Genomic DNA, 19,170 nt, shown 5'->3' on the forward strand with positions numbered 1-19,170 from the left:
AAGTTAACTTCCACACAGGCCTCTGTGAAGAAGAGGAAGAGCCAGAGAAGATTTGGAAGATTATGGTGACATGGCAGAGGAGGCGAGGACAGTGGATCTGGGGGCCTGGGGCAGCTCTGTGGACCCAATCTTAGCAACTGTTGAGACAAAGGATGTACAAATGGGATCAGAATGAACCATCAGAGGATTAGGGCTCAGGACCTGAGGTTCATGTTGTGTGCAGCATCTGAACGTGCCGCTGCTGCGTGGGTCAGCTAGTTAGAGCCACATTTCTGTGTGATGCTCTGTTCTCCTGCAGCCAGTCCTTCCCCCCACCTCCCACATTCCTGATGAGCTCTGTGACTCAGCTGCTTCTCGGGACGTCTGAGCAGCTGTTTTTTTCTAGGGATAGAAGCACAGTCAGGAGATGTAACCTGAATGCTTATCTTTCCCTTGGGTCCGTGAGGGCCCTCTCCCACCGTGAGGCCCCTGAAACAAAACTGGACTTTTAGAGGATTGTAGAAAGAGTGCCTTCTTTAGCCCCTGACTTCAGAAAAAGACAGGCATGACCAGGCATGGTGGCTCATGCCTGTAATCCCAGCACTTTGGGAGGCCGAGGCTGGTGGATCACCTGAGGTCAGGATTTCAAGACCAGCCTGGCCAACATGGCGAAAGCCCGTCTCTACTAAAAATACAAAAATTAGCTGGGTGTGGTGATGTGCACCTATAATCCCAGCTATTTGGGAGGCTGAGGCAGGACAATCGCTTGAACCTGGGAGGCGGAGGTTGCAGTGAGCCAAGATTGCCCTGCTGCACTCCAGCCTGGGTGACATAGCGAGACTCCATCTCAAAAAGGAAAAAAAAAAAAAAAAGAAAAAGGAAAGATGAATCCTGCAGGCTAAAAAGGGGAAATTTGAAAGCCAATGTTCAGCTGGACACCTTGCTTAGCGATTGAGCCCAGGACAGTTACCTTTGCTCTTCCACAGGAGCTTGTGTGTTTTCTCTGGGAGGTGCCTCAAGAGTAGCGATAGTCCTTGCAGCCCCTGCAAATCTGTCTGTGACTGGTTGGGCATCAAGGGAGTTTGCCTGGTTTTCTTGAGGGGCTGGCGATCACCAGCATCCTGACCAGGCAGCTCTGCACCCTTCCCGGAATGCTGACCCAGCCCTTCTGGTGGGACTCTTGTTCCTCCGTCATCCAGGGAGCTGAGGCTTCTTTCCAGGATATGCTCCCCCGCCCCCAGCCAGCGCCAGACCACTCCCCTTGCTGCCTTTGACCCAATGTCTGCTGGGAGACTTCACGTTCCTTCTGTGGCGTCTGTTCCTCATTACTGGCTTGTGCCCATCTCTCTCCTGTTTCTGAACTCAAACTTGCTCCATTGTGAAACTGGAGCTGGGGCGGAAGCTTTGTTGGAGGAGGCCCTGGGTCTGTCCGCAGGTGCCATAATGGAAGGGTTGCTGCTTTGGGCAGGGGTGTGCCTCCCCTGGCCCCTGCTGTGCTGCAACACATCCTTTTCTGCTGTGTTTCTGAAACCTCCTCTGTCCATGGTTGATCCTTCTCACCACCTCTTTTACTGCAGCTCCTCTGACTTCTTCCTTAGCTGTGCTGTTTCACCTCTGTCCTGTTTCTCGCCTGCTTTGCTCTTTGTCCCCTATCCTTTTGCACTGAGTAGCTGTGGGATTCCCCGACGCATCTCCCTGATGTTTGTGTCTCCAGTCCCCCTGACCTCACCTGGATCAAGGGATTCACCAGTCACTGGTATCCATATGTGTGTTTTGGGGGCATTTGTTCCTAGGGGCTGCCTCTCAGCACTGGCCCTTGTGGGGATGGGAGAGAACATGCCACACCACCAGTCGCCACCCTTACTATTAGCCTGATCTGAATCTGCCTGATGTCAGCCTGTGCTGTGGGAGGGTGTCTCCCTCTGGGCCTGCAGTACCGGGGCTGTTGGGTCTCTCTAGCTCACCTGCTGACCCAGCGTCCCGTTGTGGGGGATGGCCTGAGCCAGCCATCTCACAACTTTGTGTGGCTGTGGACAGAGGGCCTTCATGGGCTTGGGCCACCAGGAACTCCACTCTGTTGGAGCCTGTCAGGGCTCAGCAGTGGGTGGGGTCTGACCTTGAAAGTCTGAATGTCACGTGGTGCTTTGGGATCCCTTGTGGGACCCTTGTCCCACGTCAGCACTGGGTGTGCATTTGAATTGGGTGTCTCTGCTCATTGAAAGGGGCCAATCTTCGTTGGGGAGCAGGATAGAGCTCTCGCCCTTCCCTTTGGCTCTCAGAGAGGCCTAAGAAAATTGCAACAAGAGCAGAGGTTGGCTGGTTTGAAGGTGTGGCTCATCCCACATTACCAGAGAGACAGTTCCGGAGTCGGGGATAGTGCTCACGGGCTGGGACTTTCTTCTTTCTTCCTTCTTCTCCTTTTTCTTCTTTCTTCCTTTATTCCTCTTCTTCTGACAGGGTCTCACTCTGTCGTCCAGGCTAGAGTGGAGTGGTGCTCTCATGGTTCCCTGCAGCCCCAAATTCTTGAGCTCAAGCGATTCTCCTACCTCAGCCTCCTGAGTAGCTGGGACTACAGGCACGCCACCGTGCCTGGCTAATTTTTAAATTGTTTTGTGGAGACGAGGTCTCACTGTGTTGCGCACGTTGGTCTCAAACCCCTGGCCTCAAGCGATCCTCCCACCTCAGTCCCCCAAAGTGCTGGGATTACAGTTGTGAGCCACTGCACCCAGCCTGGGACTTTGTTCTGATTCCTCATTCTTTCCATTATAAAGGGTAACCGTATTAGGCTGCTCAGGCCATCATAAACAAGGACCACAGTTTGGATCGCTTAAACGGCAGAAGTTCATTTTCTCACCGATCTGGAGGCTGAAAGTCCAAGGGCAGGGTGTTAACAGGGTTGGTTTCTTCTGAGGGCCGTGAGAGAAAGATCTGTCCAGGGCCTGCGCCTCGGCTTCTGGATGGCTGTCACCTCCCTGTGTCTTCACAGGGTCTTTCCTCCTCTTACGGAGACATCAGTCATAGTGGATTAGGGCCCATGCCAATGACATCATGCTAACTCCGTCACCTCTTTAAAGACCCTGTCTCCAAATATAGCCACATTTTGAGGGCCTTAGGGTTAGTACTTCAACATATGAATTTTGAGAGGACATAATTCACCCCGTAACAATGACAGTGGAGTGATGTAAGATGCTGGGCCGGGGCTGTGACCCTACCTCAAGGCTCCAGAAACCCTTTGCATTTTAATCTTTTGGTATCTTCATGGAGCTGGAGAGGCTGTCCTTTGTGACTTAATTCCTGGCAGAATTTTAGAAAAATTTTTTATGTTTAATTTTTGTGCGTACGTAGTAGGTGTATATATTTATGGGGTACATGAGGCTTGCAGCACGTAACAGTCACTTCATGGAAGATGGGGTATTCATCCCCTTCAGCATTTATCCTTTGCGTTACAGACTGTTCAGTTATATTATTTTATTTTATTTTGACAGAGTTTTACTCTTGTTGCCCAGGCTGGAGTGCAATGGTGTGATCTCGTCTCACTATAACCTCCAGCTCCTGAGTTCAAGCGATTCTCCTACCTCAGCCTCCTGAGTAGCTGGGATTACAGGCATGCGCCACCACGACTGGCTAATTTTTTGTATTTTTAGTAGAGACGAGGTTTCACCATGTTGGCCAGGCTGGTCTCGAATTCCTGACCTCAGGTAATCCACCTGCCTCAGCCTCCCAAAGTGCTGGGATTACTGGCATGAGCCACCATGCCTGGCCTCTTTTAGTTATTTTAAAATGTGCAATTAAATTATTATTGACTATAGTTACCCTGTTGTACTATCAAATAGTAGGTCTTATTCACTCTTTCTAACTATTTTTTGTACCTATTAACCATCCCCATTTCCCCCCAGCCCCCCACTACCCTTCCCAGCCTCTGGTAACCACCCTTCTACTCTCTATCTCCATGAGTTCAATTGATTTGATTTTTAGATCCCATAAATGAGTGAGGACATGTGATGTCTGTCTTTCTGTGGCTCTCTTATTTCACACTTAACATAATGATCCCCAGTTCCATCCATGTTGTTGCAAATGACAGGATCTTACTCTTTTTTTATGGCTGAATAGTACTCCATTGTGTATATATGCCACATTTTCTTTATTCATTCATCTGTTGATGGCCACTTAAGTTGCTTCCAAATCTTGGCTATTGAGAACAGAGCTGCAACAAACATAGGAGTGCAGATATACCTCTTCAACAGACTGATTTCGTTTCTTTGGGTATATACCCAGCAGTGGGATTGCTGGATCATATGGTAGATCTATTTTTAGTTTTTTGAGGAATCTCCAAACTGTTCTCCATAGTGGTCATACTAATTTATATTCCCACCAATACCGTACAAGGGTTCCCTTTTCTCCACTTCCTCACCAGCATTTGTTGTTGCCTGTCTTTTGGATAAAAGCCATTTTCACGGGGGTGAGATGATATCTCATTGTAGTTTTGATTTGCATTTCTCTGGTGATCAATGATGTCGAGCACCTTTTCATGTGCCTGTTTGCCACTCGTATGTGTTTTCCTTGAGAAATGTCTGTTTAAATCTTTTGTCCATTTTAAATTTGGATTATGAGATTTTTTTTCCTATAAAGTTGTTTGAGCTCTTTATATATTCTGGTTATTAGTCCCTTGTCAGATGGGTAATTTGCCGATTTTTCTCCCATTCTGTGGGTTTTCTCTTCACTTTGTTGATTGTTTCCTTTGCTGTGCAGAAGCTTTTTAACTTGATGTGATCCCGCCTGTCCATGTTTGCTTTGGTTGCCTGTGCTTGTGGGGTATTGTTCAAGAGCCTGGCAGAATTTTATTCAGATGTTTGAATTGGAGCTTACATCCTTTCTGAGATCATTTCTTCCATGTATAAAATTGAGTTGCGAGCCACTTCACAAGGTTTTGTGCAGAGCAACGATAATAGCTACTGTTCAGGAAGTGCTTACTGTGTGCCTACCACTTAATTCTCAGCCCAAGCCTTATTATTAACCCCGTTTTACAGATGCAGAAGCTGAGGCACACGAAGGTTAAATAATTGGTGGTCATACAATTAACAAGTATCCAGAACTGGAATTTGAATGCAGGCCCCTGATCTAAAGTCTGGGCTTATCTCCTCTATGGATGTAAAGTGCCCAATGCTATCCTGGGCACATAGAGCCTTGGAAAAGTGAGTTGAATACGTGTGAATGGATTTTTAGGGGTGCTTAACATTGGGAGAGGTTTCCAGGGTCTGGGATGGAACATTTGGTGCCCCCACGGAAGGAAGCTGGTGAGAGTCTCAGCCCAGCTTCTGGAAAAGATTCCTGCAGGTCCTGAGGCAGAGCTGCTTCATCTTCCTTCTCATCAGCACCTCCCTCCTGCGCGCAGGGTGATGTGAGCAGAGCCCAGGAATGCCTTATGTGGATCGGCAGAACCGAATCTGTGGGTTTCTGGACATCGAGGAGCATGAGAACAGCGGCAAGTTTCTGCGGAGGTACTTCATTCTGGACACCCAGGCTAACTGCCTCCTCTGGTATATGGACAACCCCCAGGTGAGAGGGTCAGTGGGAAGGGGTGGGGCGACTGGGTGCCCATCACTGCGCCAGAGGAATGCACACAGGGTTAGCCTCCAGGCCTAGGCTCGTGAGCAACACAACCTGCTGATCAGCAGGGAGGGGACAACCCTACAACACACACAGACACACACACAAATGCACATTCACGTGCACACACACCACACACACCCCATACACACCACACACACGCACACACATGCACCTTATACACACACACCACACACACACTGTACAGACACGACACATACACACATGCACACACCATATACACACCACACAGACACACACACATACCCCCCATACACATACCACAGACACATACACACACCACACACACCATACACACACACAACCCATACACCATACACACATGCACACACGACACACACCATACACACAACCCATACACCAGACACACACCATACACACATGCACACACACCCCATATACACACACCACACACACATTATACACACACATGCACACACATGCACACACATCCCATACACACATACACAAGCCATACACACACACCACACACAGAGACACACATACACCATACACACACCCCCATACACACACACCCCCACGCACACCACACACACCACACACGCATGCACCTCATACACATGCAGACACATGCGCACACGCACACACCATACACACACATGCACACACACATATACACACAGACTACACACATACTATACACACCCATCCACACACACACAGAAAACCATCTCAGATCTTAGCTTGGAGAGAATGATGCTGTCCTGACCCTGGCATCTGGTGTCTGCTCTCACACGCAGACACCAGCCAGGATCTGCCAGTGAGATCCAAGTCCTGGATCCAGGCTCCAAGGCATGGCTTGCTTCCTGTTACTTCTCTCCAGGGCTGTGGCCTGTGGCTGCTCCTGCTCTTCCAGTCTGGGGGCCCCTCCCCAGCAGAGAATGTGACCTGGTTCCCTGAGCCGGACACATGTTGGACTTCTTTGGTCTCCTGACTCAGGAAGTCCTAGAATCCTGGATTGGAGGTGCCCTTGGAGGTCACCCAGTTTTGTTTCCTCATGGTCCAGATGAGAAGAGAGCCTCAGACACTGCACTGGATCTTGGCAAGGACATGGTCAGAATTAGGTGACTTGCTGAGCATCTTGTGGAGGTCAGGCACAAAGATGGGGGCCACCTACCTTTGACTGCTATGTCTAGGAGTCCCTGGAGTCATCACTGCTCTGGGAACAAGTTGCTTCACCCTGATTTGGGATCTCAAGGCTTTTCTTATTCTGGCCCTGAGTGCTGTTAGCTCTTTCCTTCCCCTACCCTTGAGTGATTTGGTGGAATGAGCCTGCAAACACTGACATGGCCTCTGAACAGCAAGGTCACAGGTCATGGCTGTGTTGGGATGAAGAAGGGTGTGGGATCTGGGATTTGGCTCTAGTTCCGAGGCTTGGGAAGAGGAAATTCTGAATGTCCCAGGGATGGAGTTATGCTTTAAGATGCAATGTGGAAAATGAGTTATGTGAATCTCTAGGTCACTGTCCAGGGACTAATCATCTAGTGATCTTGGGCATTTGTCTTCTAGATTTGATGACCAAGAGAAAAACAGCATAGATGCGGAAAACATACTCAGAAAGTCAGCTGCTGCTAATTGCCTTCTCTAGCAAGGATTAACCCTAAGTAGAACTGAGCCCCATGTTTCACCCTGCAGCCCTGATAAACCTGTTGCTTACTTTCATTTGAAGTGCCTAGTATTCAGAATGAACCCTTCCTAGGCACACTGTGACACCCTCAACTCAGCCTGGAATGCTGCCATTTGTCATGTAATGGGCCTGGTTTGCCTTCAGGCCCTGCGATATCATTTTCCTTTCCTTTGCTCTTTTCTTTTCTCTCTTTTTTTTTGAGACAGAGTCTTGCTCTGTCACCCAGGCTGGAGTGCAGTGGCATGATCTCGGCTCACTGCAACCTCTGCCTCCTGGATTTAAGTGATTCTCCTGCCTCAGCCTCCTCAGTAGCTGGGATTACTGGCATGTACCACCATGCCCGGCTAATTTTTGTTATTTATTTATTGATTTAGTTTTGAGACGGGGTCTCTCTCTGTTGCCCAGGCTAGAGTGCAGTGGCGCGATCTCGGCTCGCTGCAAGCTCTGCCTCCCGGGTTCACGCCATTCTCCTGCCTCAGCCTCCCGAGTAGTTGGGACTACAGGCACCCGCCACCACGCCCAGCTAATTTTTTGTATTTTTTTTTAGTAGAGACGGGGTTTCACTGTGTTAGCCAGGATGGTCTCAAGCTCCTGACCTCCTTATCTGCCCACCTTGGCCTCCCAAAGTGCTGGGATTACAGGCATGAGCCACTTTGTTACTTTTAGTAGAGACAAGGTTTTACCATGTTGGCCAGGCTGGTCTTGAACTCCTCACCTCAAGTGATCTGCCTGCTTTGGCCTCCCAAAGTGCTGGGATTACAGGCATGAGCCGTTGCACCTGGCCGTTTTTTTTTTTTTCAATTTGGGATCTTACTCCGTTGCCCAGGCTGGAGTGCAGTGATGCAATCATAGCTCAAACTCCTGGGCTCAAGTGATCCTCCCACCTCAGCCTCCCATGTAGCTGGGACTACAGGTGTGCGCCACCACACTGGGCTAATTATTTTTATTTTTTGTAGAGATGGAGGGTCTCACTTTGTTGACCAGGCTGGTCTCGAACTCCTGGTTTCTTTTTTTTTTTTCTTCTTTTGAGACAGAGTTTTGCTCTTGTTGCCCACGCTGGAGTGCAATGGCGCGATCTCAGCTCACTGCAACCTCTGCCTCCCGGGTTCAAGCGATTCTCCTGTCTCAGCCTCCCGAGTAGCTGGGATTACAGGCGTCAGCCACCACGCCCAGCTAATTTTTGTATTTTTAGTAGAGACGGGGTTTCATCATATTGGTCAGGCTGGTCTTGAACTCCTGACGTCAGGTGATCCACCGGCCTCGGCCTCCCAAAGTGCTGGGATTACAGGCATGAGCCACTGCGACTGGCCTGAACTCTTGGTTTCAAGCGATGCTTCTGCTTTGGCTGGAGTTAAATGTTTGTTGCCAGTAGACTTGGCTTTGGGCACACCAGAGATGAGCCCTGGGTGACTTATGGGTCTTCACGTTCCCTCTCCATTCTCCTCCTTTGTGTACTTCCTCCCACTCACCTGCTGTGTTAGTGCAAGTCATTCGAATGGATTTTTGTCTTGATTTACCTGCTTCACGCCATGCTTCCCCACTAGGGCTGTGCTTTACCCGAACTGACTTGCTTGGGGAATCCTGTCTGGCTGTTGCCAGCTGCCTCCCTGGAGAGTTGGATCTTTCTTCACACCCTGGGTCACAGACTGAGAGTTGTGCTGTCAGTGGCAGATCACCCAGGACCACAGTGGCACCATCTTGGAACTTGAATATTGACGGTTGTCAGGATTCCCCTCACTCTGATTTGTCACTGGGGCCCAGAACCTGTGCTAAGCCTGGACGCTGTGCCTCGGGCTGCCTTCTAAGCTCTCTGGGGTCAGCCTCTGCAGCAGGTTCCCCTGGCCCAGGGCAGGCTCTTACTCTTTCCTGCTAGCTGAGCTCTCAGGGTGTTTTGTGGTAGAACCTTCTTCAAGTTTGAATTACCAGGTAAAACTAACTAGTGGCCCACTGCTGGGGATTCTTTATGTTTTCCCAGGAAGCAGTAGAGCTCACCTGGCTTGGCATATTCTTGAAAAAAGAGAGTCTTGCTGTGATACAGAAATAATTCAGGACATTTTACTTCTTCAGTGGTTGGGTTAGTTCTTTGTTGTGTGAACAGCCAAACGGCCACTCCAGATTTAAGTGTGGATGTTTCAGTTAAGTTCTAAAATGGTATTAGTGAGCATTTATTACTGTGTGCCAAGCACACTTCATTGGGTTTTTATTTCATTCTGACAACAAGTTTAATTGGTAGTTATTATTGCCCTCATTCTGAAGATGAGGTGGGTGAGGCTGACAGGGGAAGAATTTGCCCGTGGTTACATAATAAAAAAGTAGCACAGCTGGGACTCTAACCCCGGCAGTCTAACTCTAGTGCCCCTGCCATTATTGCTGATAATGAGACAGGCGTCTAAGGGTGACTTGGAGGATGAAGAGCCTGCAAAGGTAGTTTCTGGTTAAGAAAGAGAAACCTGAGGACTCTCGGGGCTGGGAGGTCCTAGAAGGTAGGGCACTCGTGTGGCTTAGTTTTTTATCATAGTGTTTCCAGCATTTGATGAATATGTGTTCATTGAATGAAGGAATGAATGAGCCAGCTAAAGAGGGCCAGGGAAGGAAGTGGTCAGAAGTCAGGTCACTGGGGAATGTGGAGTGCCCAACATTGCTTTCCTGGGACTGGGGACAGGGCCAAAATGGAATGGAAGCTCTGCAGAGAGGGGCATCCTGGGGATTTTGGTCCATTCCTATGAAAAGAGGCATTGAGAACTGTGTGTGGTCGTTGAACATCTTTATTTGATAGGGACAAGGAGATGCCTGCTATGTTTTCTTAATTATTTAATAGGCAGTAATAAGCAGAAGATTTTTGGACCCAGGTCTCCGATCTTTGTGTGTTGAAGCCACCTGGTAGGTGGTGTTCACTGAGCCTGAATCTGTTACTGCTGCTGCTACTGCTGTTATTACTAACTGCAGCTTATACTTACTAAGTGGTTGCCATGTACCAGCTATGGTGTGAAATGCTTTTACATGTGTTACCCCATGGAACCTCTCCATAATCCTGGGGCCTAGGGTCTGTTGTTACTCTTTGCTCATGGTTGTGCAGGTGGTAAATGCAGCGCTGGAGCCAGGTCCATCGACTCAAGTGTGCAACCTCCTCTTTGTCTGCCTCCCTCCTCCCACTGACCTCTGTGCTCAGCCCGTGCAAGGTCTTGTAGATGATGTGGAAAATGAATTCGGTGAGGCCTTTGCCACCAGGAAGCTTCAGGGTTAGCTGGGGAGAGGAAAACAACACACACAAAACTATGGTGCTAATAATCCTGGCAAATCATTATAACAGGGTAGCATATCATTAGGTGCCAGTGCCAATGCCCGGATGCCAATATTTGGGTTGAAGGAGAAGCAGTTGCCATTTTCCTTTGCTGCCACCCATAAGGGAAAGATGTAGGGCTTGGAGGTGGAGTCTCATATGGAAAGTTCTCATGCTGCAGAGATAAGAGATCAAGGTTGCAATCTTGGCTCTGCCACTAAGTTGATTTACATCTTAGGCAAGTCACTTATCCTGTGGAGTATGGGCACTCTAGGTGATCCTTTCACCAGCACACCTGGCTAATTTTTGTAGTTTTAGTAGAGATGGGGTTTCACTATGTTGGTCAGCCTGGTCTTGAACTCCTGACCTCAAATGATCCCACTGCCTTGGCCTCCCAAAGTGCTGGGATTACAGGCATGAGCTACCGCGCCCAGCCTGTAGGTGATCCTTACGTGCCTTTTATCCTTTCATTTCCTGAGAATAGAAGGAGATCCTGGAGTTCAACAGCATTGTTAACACATATTTACTAAATTTGTTCAGCGTGCCAGATGCTGATCTAAATACTGTGGCTACTTCAGTGAACAAGACAGTCTTTGCCTTCATAGAGTTTACACTGTATTTGGGGAAACAGACAATTGGGGTGGGGAGAGCTGGGGGCCCCCCTTCATAGAGGAGGTGTCACTAGATCCAGATGTTGAAGGGTGTGTGAGGTTCATTTTTGCTATACATTATTTGTATTTGCAGAGCATTTTGTGGGTTTTCCACTTACTTTTTAAAATTTGTATTTATTTATTTTTTTAAGACAGAGTCTCACTCTGTTGCCGAGGATCCAGTGCAGTGGCGCGATCTCAGCTCACTGCAACCTCCGCCTCCCAGCTTAAAGAAATTCTCGTGCCTCAGCCTCCCAAGTAGCTGGGATTACAGGCCTGCACCACCATGCCCGGCTACTTTTTGTATTTTATTAGAGATGGGGGTGTCACCACGTTGGCTAGGCTGGTCTCGAACTCCTGACCTCAGGTGATCCACCCACCTCGGCATCCAAAGTGCTGGGTTACAGATGTGAGCCACTACGCCTGGCCCGGTTTTCACTTACAAGATGTCCTTTGATTGTTATACCTACTCTGCCCCAAGCAGAGATGAAGAGGAGGAGAAGGGCGTTCTGAGTTGGGGAAACAGCAGTCATTGTGGGGCAGAGGTGAGCTCGCCTGGTTGGAGGGGCATTTAGGGTCGTCAGGGTCCCCAGAAGAAGACCCTGAGACGAGGAGTCAGGCGCTGAGACAGGGAGTCAGGCGCGGAGGCAAGATCTGTCAGGAAGTTCTTTATTGAGGAAATGTTCCCGCGGGGACTGTGAAGAGAGCTGGGGAAGGAGGACAGGGAAGGGAGGAGGCCAGACAAGGGTGTGAACTCAGGTGGAGGTCTGAGCAAGGGATGGTTTCACTGTGGGCCTGCAGGAGCGCTGGGGTGAGTCATGCCTCAGCCTTGTCTCAGGGAGCTGGGCTTTCGTGTGCCTGCACCGGGCAGTCACTGGCTCCAGCTCTGCACATGTGGGCAGAATGGCTTCCAGCAGCCCAGAGGCAGTTCTCTGAAGCAGAGCTGTAGATGCAGGCCATGGAAGGCACAGCCAAATGGCAAAAAGAGATGGAGGGAATTTGGGAAGTCAGTGGCAACGTCTGCTAGATGGACATACGGTGGGGGTGTGTTGGGGATCAGAACACAGCGTGGGCCAGGCGCAGCCTTGAATGTCTGGCAGAATTTAGAATCAGTGTGGTTAAGTAATGAATCAAGGCTTCTCGTACAGGCAGTGGTGACTCTAAACTGATATAGAACAAAAACCCATTAGCTAAAAAGGACCTGTATAAATGGAAAGTCTCAGTATTATTGATTATGGACACTGATTTGGCTAATGCATTTAAAAATCAATATACTGACAATATCAAGCAAACTTTTTTTTAAATTATAGTAAGGATGTTCAGCATGAGATCTACCCTTTTAACAAATTTTTAAATGCATGATACCATATTGTTGACTGTAGGCACGATGTAATACAGCCAGTCTCCCTACTCTAGAACTTCTTCATCTTGCATGCAATCAAATAATTCTTGAACAGAAACAAATGCTGGCTTGATTTTCCTTAAAATGTTACTACAATATTATGGCACTAGCGCTTGTATTTTGATTTCACATTGGTTCCCGTCATGATAGAGGAGATGAAATTCCTTAGGGCCGCCCTACTCTAGTACAGCAATCTGCAGACTAACTATGTTTTAGTTGCAGAGAATTGCTTACATCCCCCACTTTCTAAAGTCCACTTGGCTAAGTAATTGCAAGACCAAATTATATGGCCCTGAACAAAGAGTAAACAGAAGCGTGAAACACAATATTGCACTAGATTGCTGGTCTTGTCAAATTTACTCTGTCAAATGTGTTTTTTCCTCTTTTTCCAAAAAATACGTAGTTGCTTTTACTTTCCAAAGGCCACGATATGACTCATGGATCATCAAATAACCAAAAAGATTGCATGGCTCTTAGTACTCCTGGGGTGCCAATGAAAGCCCTTTGCTTTTATTTAATTTTTTTAAATAAACTGAAAGCAGTTCTTTCCATTGATGGGGTGAAGAGCGTTAGCAGTGTTGGTAAGAAGATGGATATTTGGTGCATTTTAGTAGAAAGCATACAAAGTTATGGGAGGAGGTTATAATAACACATAATGTATAATGGACAATACTGTTGTCTTAAAGGCTACATGAAAATTGGTGTTTTTTTAAAAAAACGTGAAATTTTCCTAAGCAAATTTTGGCTGAAAGCCAGGAATAATTTTTGCATTGTATGCTTCAACCTGTCAGAATGCCAAGAACCAGGAAATAATGTTCTTTAAAAATTGGGCAATAGATGCACGTGGTGCAGAATTTGGAATGTAGGAATGCAGAGTTAGTGACAAATTTCTCCCTCCCACTTCTGTCCTCTCAGCAGGGGCAGCCAGTCTTGACAGTTTCTTGTGTCTGTCTGGAGATAATCTCTGCCTGAGAGACTATCTCTTAAGATCATGGTAACTTTCAGATCTTCAGCAAATTGTTTGGGCAAAGTGTCTTCAATTCATGGATTTTGTGTAATTGATATCTTAACTATCCATGTAGACTTGTGATTTCCAGGAGTCAGTGGAATATTTGATGTGCTTTTGTCTGTAGTGTGTTAGAGTAAGAACGCAGAATCCTTTGGTAAAAAAAAAATCCCAAAAGAAGATTATAAGTGACAAATCTGTACTTTTACCAAATGCAAATTTTGCTAAGGGTAAAAATATTATTAAAAAGTACTTTTTTTTTTTTTTTTTAGAGACAGGGTTCTTACTCCGTCTCCGAGACTGAAGTGTAGTGTGCAGTCAGAGCTCACTGCTGGATTTGACTGGGCCTGGTCAAAACATGCTTAGAATTAAAATTATATGTGGGCTTTTTGAGAGCTTAATGTAGAATTAGAAACTGCAATTTTGCTTTATGTGTTTTCTGTAGCCATCATATTTTTTAAACAAGTTGTATCTTTATAACAGGATGTACTTTGTCTAAATTAAAAAAAATTAAAAACTAAGCCGGGTGCGGTGGCTCACGCCTGTAATCCCAGTACTCTGGGAGGCCAAGGCAGGCGATCACCTGCGGTCAGGAGTTCAAGACCAGCCTGGCCAACATGGCGAAACCCTGTCTCTACTAAAAGTACAATAATTAGCAGGGCATGGTGGCAAGCTACTCAGGAGGCTGAGGCAGGAGAATCGCTTGAACCCGGGAGGCAGAGGTTGCAGTGAGCTGAGATCACGCCATTGCACTCTAGCCTGGGTAACAAGAGCGAGACTCCATCTCAAAAAAAACCAACCAACCAAACAAACAAACAAAAAACTAAGTAGCACATTGAAAGAATTGTGTTAAGAGTTAGCACTACTCAGTATTAAAGTCCAAGCAGCTAAACAGATAGAAGCTATGAAACTTAGCAGAGGTTAAATAACTATTGCAAAACCATAGTGATGACTATTCTAAGTTTTCTCAAAACTTCTCTTTGGTATGTTGTTGTTAGATTTTGCTTTACATTTTAACCTTCAACATTTGTTCAATGTATTTATTATATACATCTCTTTCTATATTTATAGATCTAGTTATATACCAAAGAATGGTATGACCAGACATGGTGGCTCATGTCTGTAATCCCAGGCCTGTGGGAGGATCACTTGAGGCCAGGAATTTGAGACCAGCCTGGGCAACATAGGAAGACCCCATCTCTACAAAAAATAAAATAAAATAAAGAAATTAGGCAATCGTGGTGGCATATGTCTGTAGTCCCAGGTACTTGGGACGCTGAGGTGGGAGAATCACTTGAGCTCAGGAGTTAGAGGCTGCAGTGAGCTGTGATCAGGACACTGTACTCCAGCCTGAGTTACAGAGCAAGACCCTGTCTCAAAAAAAGTCATTTTATTAATTTATTATCTAAATAGTGTCTCGAAGGCAAAGGAGGTTGGTTATTGCATGTTTGGGGGAGGGGTTCATATTAGATTTTGCTTCAGAGACCAGTTTTATTAGTTATATCAATTGAGCACAGGACAACATGATGAATATATTCATTAAGGAAACATCCATTTTTTGAGCCTCCTGTCCTCATCCACAGTATATGGTAATGATATCAATGATCTCCACCTGTGACATTGTTGCTGTGAAGAGTAAATAATGTATGTGAGAATGCTTTGATGAGCTCTAAAGTGCTACAGATGTTATCTGTTAAGAAAGTTTGTTCTGGCCAGGACATCGGGATGGATGGGGAGGTGGGGAGAGCTGGAGCTGGAGATGACGGCTGGGGATTTGTCACAGAGCTTCCTGATATGCCTGAGGTGGTGGGAATGGAGAGTGGGGGGGCAGGTTTAGAGGCTACATGAGGGAAGAATGTTTGAAAGTTTAGTACCTGGTTGACTGGGGAGAGGAGGTGGAATTACTGACAGAGGCTGGGGAGGGGAGAGGGAAACCGATTAGAAAGTGGAGGGGAAATGACATTGAGTTTGAGGCTGGATTGAAGAAAGGGCTGATGGAGTTGGCTTATTGAGTTTACAGCTTTAGAAACATTTAGGTGGCCAGCAGTCAGAGTTGGGACCCAAATGCCTCCGGGAGATTATCTGAAGCCCAGGCCTCTGACCTGGTCTTTTTTTTTTTTTTTTTTTTCTTTTTGAGATGGAGTCTCACTCACTCTGTCACCCAGGCTGGAGTGCAGTGGTGTGATCTTGGCTCACTGCAACCTCTGTCTCCTGGGTTCAAGCGATTCTCCTACCGCAGCCTCCCGGATACCTGGGATTAAAGGTGTGCGCCACCACACCCAGCTAATGTTTGTATTTTTAGTAGAGACAGGGTTTCACCATGTTGGCCAGGTTGGTCTTGAACTCCTGACCTCAAGTGATCCACCCGCCTTGGCCTCCCAAAGTGTTGAGATTACAGGCATGAATCACCGCGCCCGGCCCGACCTGGTCTTTAAGTCTCTGTCACCAGAGTTGGAAGACGGAAATAAAGGGAATGGGGGTGTGGCTGAGAGACTTAACACACAATGAAACTTATCCTGTCTAAAGCTGATACTGGTGTCTGTCAACAAGAAATCGACATCCAAGTAATAGAATAAAAACATTAAGCCCACGCAGCAGAGGATGATATAGAATCGACTTCTCCTGAAGGGAAAGATTAAATACACACTTTGAACTGGAGAATGGGGAGAGTAGCTATCAGCGTGTCGTGTGTCCCCGCGTTAGCATCAGCAAGTGGACCTACAGGGCAGAGGGGAGGAGAGGTGTTTGGCCCTAGAGCAGCAGGTAGAGCCACGGCCCAGGTCACCTGGTGCCTGGGATTCGCTTGGCTCCCCTGCTTTGGTTGCTCATGTCAGGGTGAGGGCTTTGGAATGTGGGGCAGCGGCAGCTATGCTCCTCCTTCCCAGTCCTGTCACACCGTTCTCCTACATTCAAATGTCTACTCTGAGCTATACCCCCTCTGCAGGCACATTCTTTTCTGTGAGTCTACATGGCCGTGGCTTTTGGTGGCTGAGCTATGGTTTTAGCTCACAGACAGCAATGTCAGCTCATGCCCTAGCTCTGGGATTACCAGGGGCGTCCCCTCCCTCCGTCTCCTGCTAGCTGCTTTTTACTGTCTGCTGGACACCCCAGGGGCCTGTAAGAGAAGGTCAGATGGCACCAGCATCTCTCCTTCCTTCCCCCTTTCTGCTCTGAATCTCTGGTCTATTGGAGTTTGGCACCCAAGAGCCAGTTGGACAAGTTCCTGCCCTGCCCAGCTTGGGCAATGACACTGGGCCTCTTTTGGTGTAACCCTGCTGGTCCTGCTTTTGTATTTACCTTTCATTGATAATCAGCTCTTAGATAATGTCTCATGGGAGATGGCAGGGCCTAAAGGAAAGTGCATGGGATTTGGGAATCAGGAAGGGTTGGGCTTGAATACTGGCTCCGCTGCTTGCTGCCTGTGTGACCCTGGGCAGGTTCCTTCACCTGCCCCATCCTTAGTTTCTTCATCTGTGAAATGGGATTGTTAGGATTAGGCGACCACATGTGAAGGTGCCTAGCAGCATGTCTGGCGCATCATAATTTCTAAATATATGTTAGTTTCCTTCTTTCTTTCTCAGGCTGTTACTTTGCCAAAGCACCAGATTGATGTTAGGAGTTTGAGCTCTGTCTTCATTTGACTCCCTAAGGAAGTCACTTCCCCCAGTTGAGCCTTAGAGGACTCATGTGTAGTGAATGAAGAGGTATGCACAGGACCTTTGAGTGCTGACATGCTGTGAGTTTATGGATCGATAGTTGGGTCTTCTGGTCATTTCTGTGTTCTTTGTGACTCTCACTGGAAGAGGCGGAAGGGAGTAGAAGTCACATGGGTAAAAATTTCTTCTTCAACAAGAAATACTGCTGTTGCTAGAAAAAGGATTAACGTGGGAGGTGTGCCACATCCCTGTATGGGCACCTCAGCTGCTTCCTTGGTGACGGAGAAGAATAAGCCATATATTTTCCCCCCTGGGGAGCTGGCTCCTTCAAGGACCTTAGTGGCAGAAGAGCTCTTGAGCAAAAAGGAAGGTACTGGCATTGTCTGCATAAAACCACCTATCTTTATTTATTTATTTATTTATTTATTTATTTTTGAGATGGAGTCTGGCTCTGTCACCCGGGCTGGAGTGCAGTGGCGCAATCTCGGCTCACTGCAACCTTCGCCTCCTGGGTTCAAGCAATTCTCGTGCCTCAGCCTCCCAAGTAGCTGGGATTACAGGCGCATGCCACTATGCCCGGCTAATTTTTTAATACTTTTAGTAGAGAAGGGGTTTCACCATGTTGGCCAGGCTGGTCTTGAATTCCTGACCTCAGGTGATCCCCCTGCCTCAGCCTCCCAAAGTGCTGGGATTACAGGCGTGAGCCACCACGCTCAGCCTAAAACCACCTATCTTTTAACAGGAACCTGCCCTGTGCCCTATGTGGTTCCACAAAATTTAGAAGTCCACCAAATGTACAGACCACTCCTGACTTGTAGACTTCCTCTCGTGGGATCGCTGCCAGCGAGGCACGGCACCCCACGGCATGGCATGGCATGGCACGGCATGGCACGGCATGACACGGGAATCTCCATTCCCTCTTCCTCTCTCTCTCCTACCTTTCCTCCTTCCTCTCTGTTGGCTGCTGGTGCAGCAGCCAGGGTGACTCTGTGGGCTGCTGGCTGGCGTAGCCTTTTCTCTCACCAGCTGCTGTGTCTCTAGGGCAGACTCAGCAGGACCAGCTGGTGCCTACAGCCATGACCTCCAACCTGGAAGCACATGGAATCCCTTGGGAGCTCTGGAAACAGGCAGGTGCCTGGGTATCCCAGACGAGTTCAAACCCTGAGAATGAAGCATGCGTCTTAGTTTGTTTAGAAATCTCCCGAGGTGGCCAGGAGACATGGTGGCCCATGCCTGTAATTCCAGTACTTTGGGAGGCCAGGGCGGGCGGATCACCTGATGTCAGGAGTTTGAGATCAGCCTGGCCAATATGGTGAAACCCCATCTCTACTAAAAATACAGAAATTAGCCGGGTGTGGTGGTGCATGTCTGTAATCCCAGCTACTCAGGAGGCTGAGGCACGAGAATTGCTTGAACCCGGGAGGTGGAGGTTGCAGTGAGCCGAGATCATGCCACTGCATATCCAGCCTGGGCAACGGAGTCATCTCAAAATAAATAAATACATAAATAAAAGATACCTCCCGAGGTGATTCACATAAGCAGCCTTCCAGAACTTCATTCCCACCACCCACCGGCTCCACTTTGTATCTGCTCAGACGCCTTCATCTTGACGCTTCCAGTCCCTCTCCCTATGGCCCATTCCTCAACTCTGCCCCTACATTTTCCACCTCCTTTTCATTGGGGTTCAGTCCTTTCCTGCCTCTTCTACCCGATCCTGATTCCTGTCCCACAGAGGCCTTGCCTAGGTCTTGGGAGCTGCAAACTGAAGTGACCCCCAAGTTGGAACCTGGGAGATGTCACGAGAAAACGTTGTTTGCCGGTGGTGGGCAGAGCTGCATTGGTCTTCCAGTACTTTATGAACTCAGTGGGCTTGTATGGACTGGTTGGGAACTTCACCATCATGCAAATATTGTTTTCATTT

The 19,170-nt window shown here is 47.8% G+C and overlaps 1 protein-coding gene across 8 annotated transcripts in view, besides 1 other annotated feature; it reads left to right on the plus strand.

The window, feature by feature from the left end:
• The window catches only part of PLEKHA2 (pleckstrin homology domain containing A2), a 72,567-nt gene that overhangs the window by 11,190 nt on the left and 42,207 nt on the right, over window positions 1-19,170 (plus strand). For 5 of the 8 annotated variants that reach the window (NM_021623.2, XM_047422067.1, XM_011544607.4 and 2 more), the window contains exon 2: window positions 5,372-5,535. The exons of 1 other annotated variant lie outside the window; for it this stretch is intronic. In NM_021623.2, the coding sequence (NP_067636.1) occupies window positions 5,395-5,535 (141 nt within the window). In that variant the 5' untranslated portion in view covers window positions 5,372-5,394. Of the gene's footprint in view, window positions 1-882; window positions 5,172-5,351; window positions 5,536-19,170 lie in introns of those variants that run through there. 2 more of the 8 variants (XM_047422068.1, XM_011544606.3) reach the window with 2 other exon arrangements.
• Window positions 1,612-2,293: an enhancer, noted in NCBI's record as "H3K27ac-H3K4me1 hESC enhancer chr8:38771665-38772346 (GRCh37/hg19 assembly coordinates)". NCBI's record gives its function as "activates a minimal SCP1, AML or CMV promoter by ChIP-STARR-seq in primed H9 embryonic stem cells {active_cell/tissue: H9 hESC(primed)}" and the evidence as "EXISTENCE:reporter gene assay evidence [ECO:0000049][PMID:30033119]".

The sequence above is a fragment of the Homo sapiens genome, chromosome 8 (genome assembly GCF_000001405.40).
Source record: "Homo sapiens chromosome 8, GRCh38.p14 Primary Assembly".
In the NCBI taxonomy this organism is placed as follows: domain Eukaryota; kingdom Metazoa; phylum Chordata; class Mammalia; order Primates; family Hominidae; genus Homo; species Homo sapiens.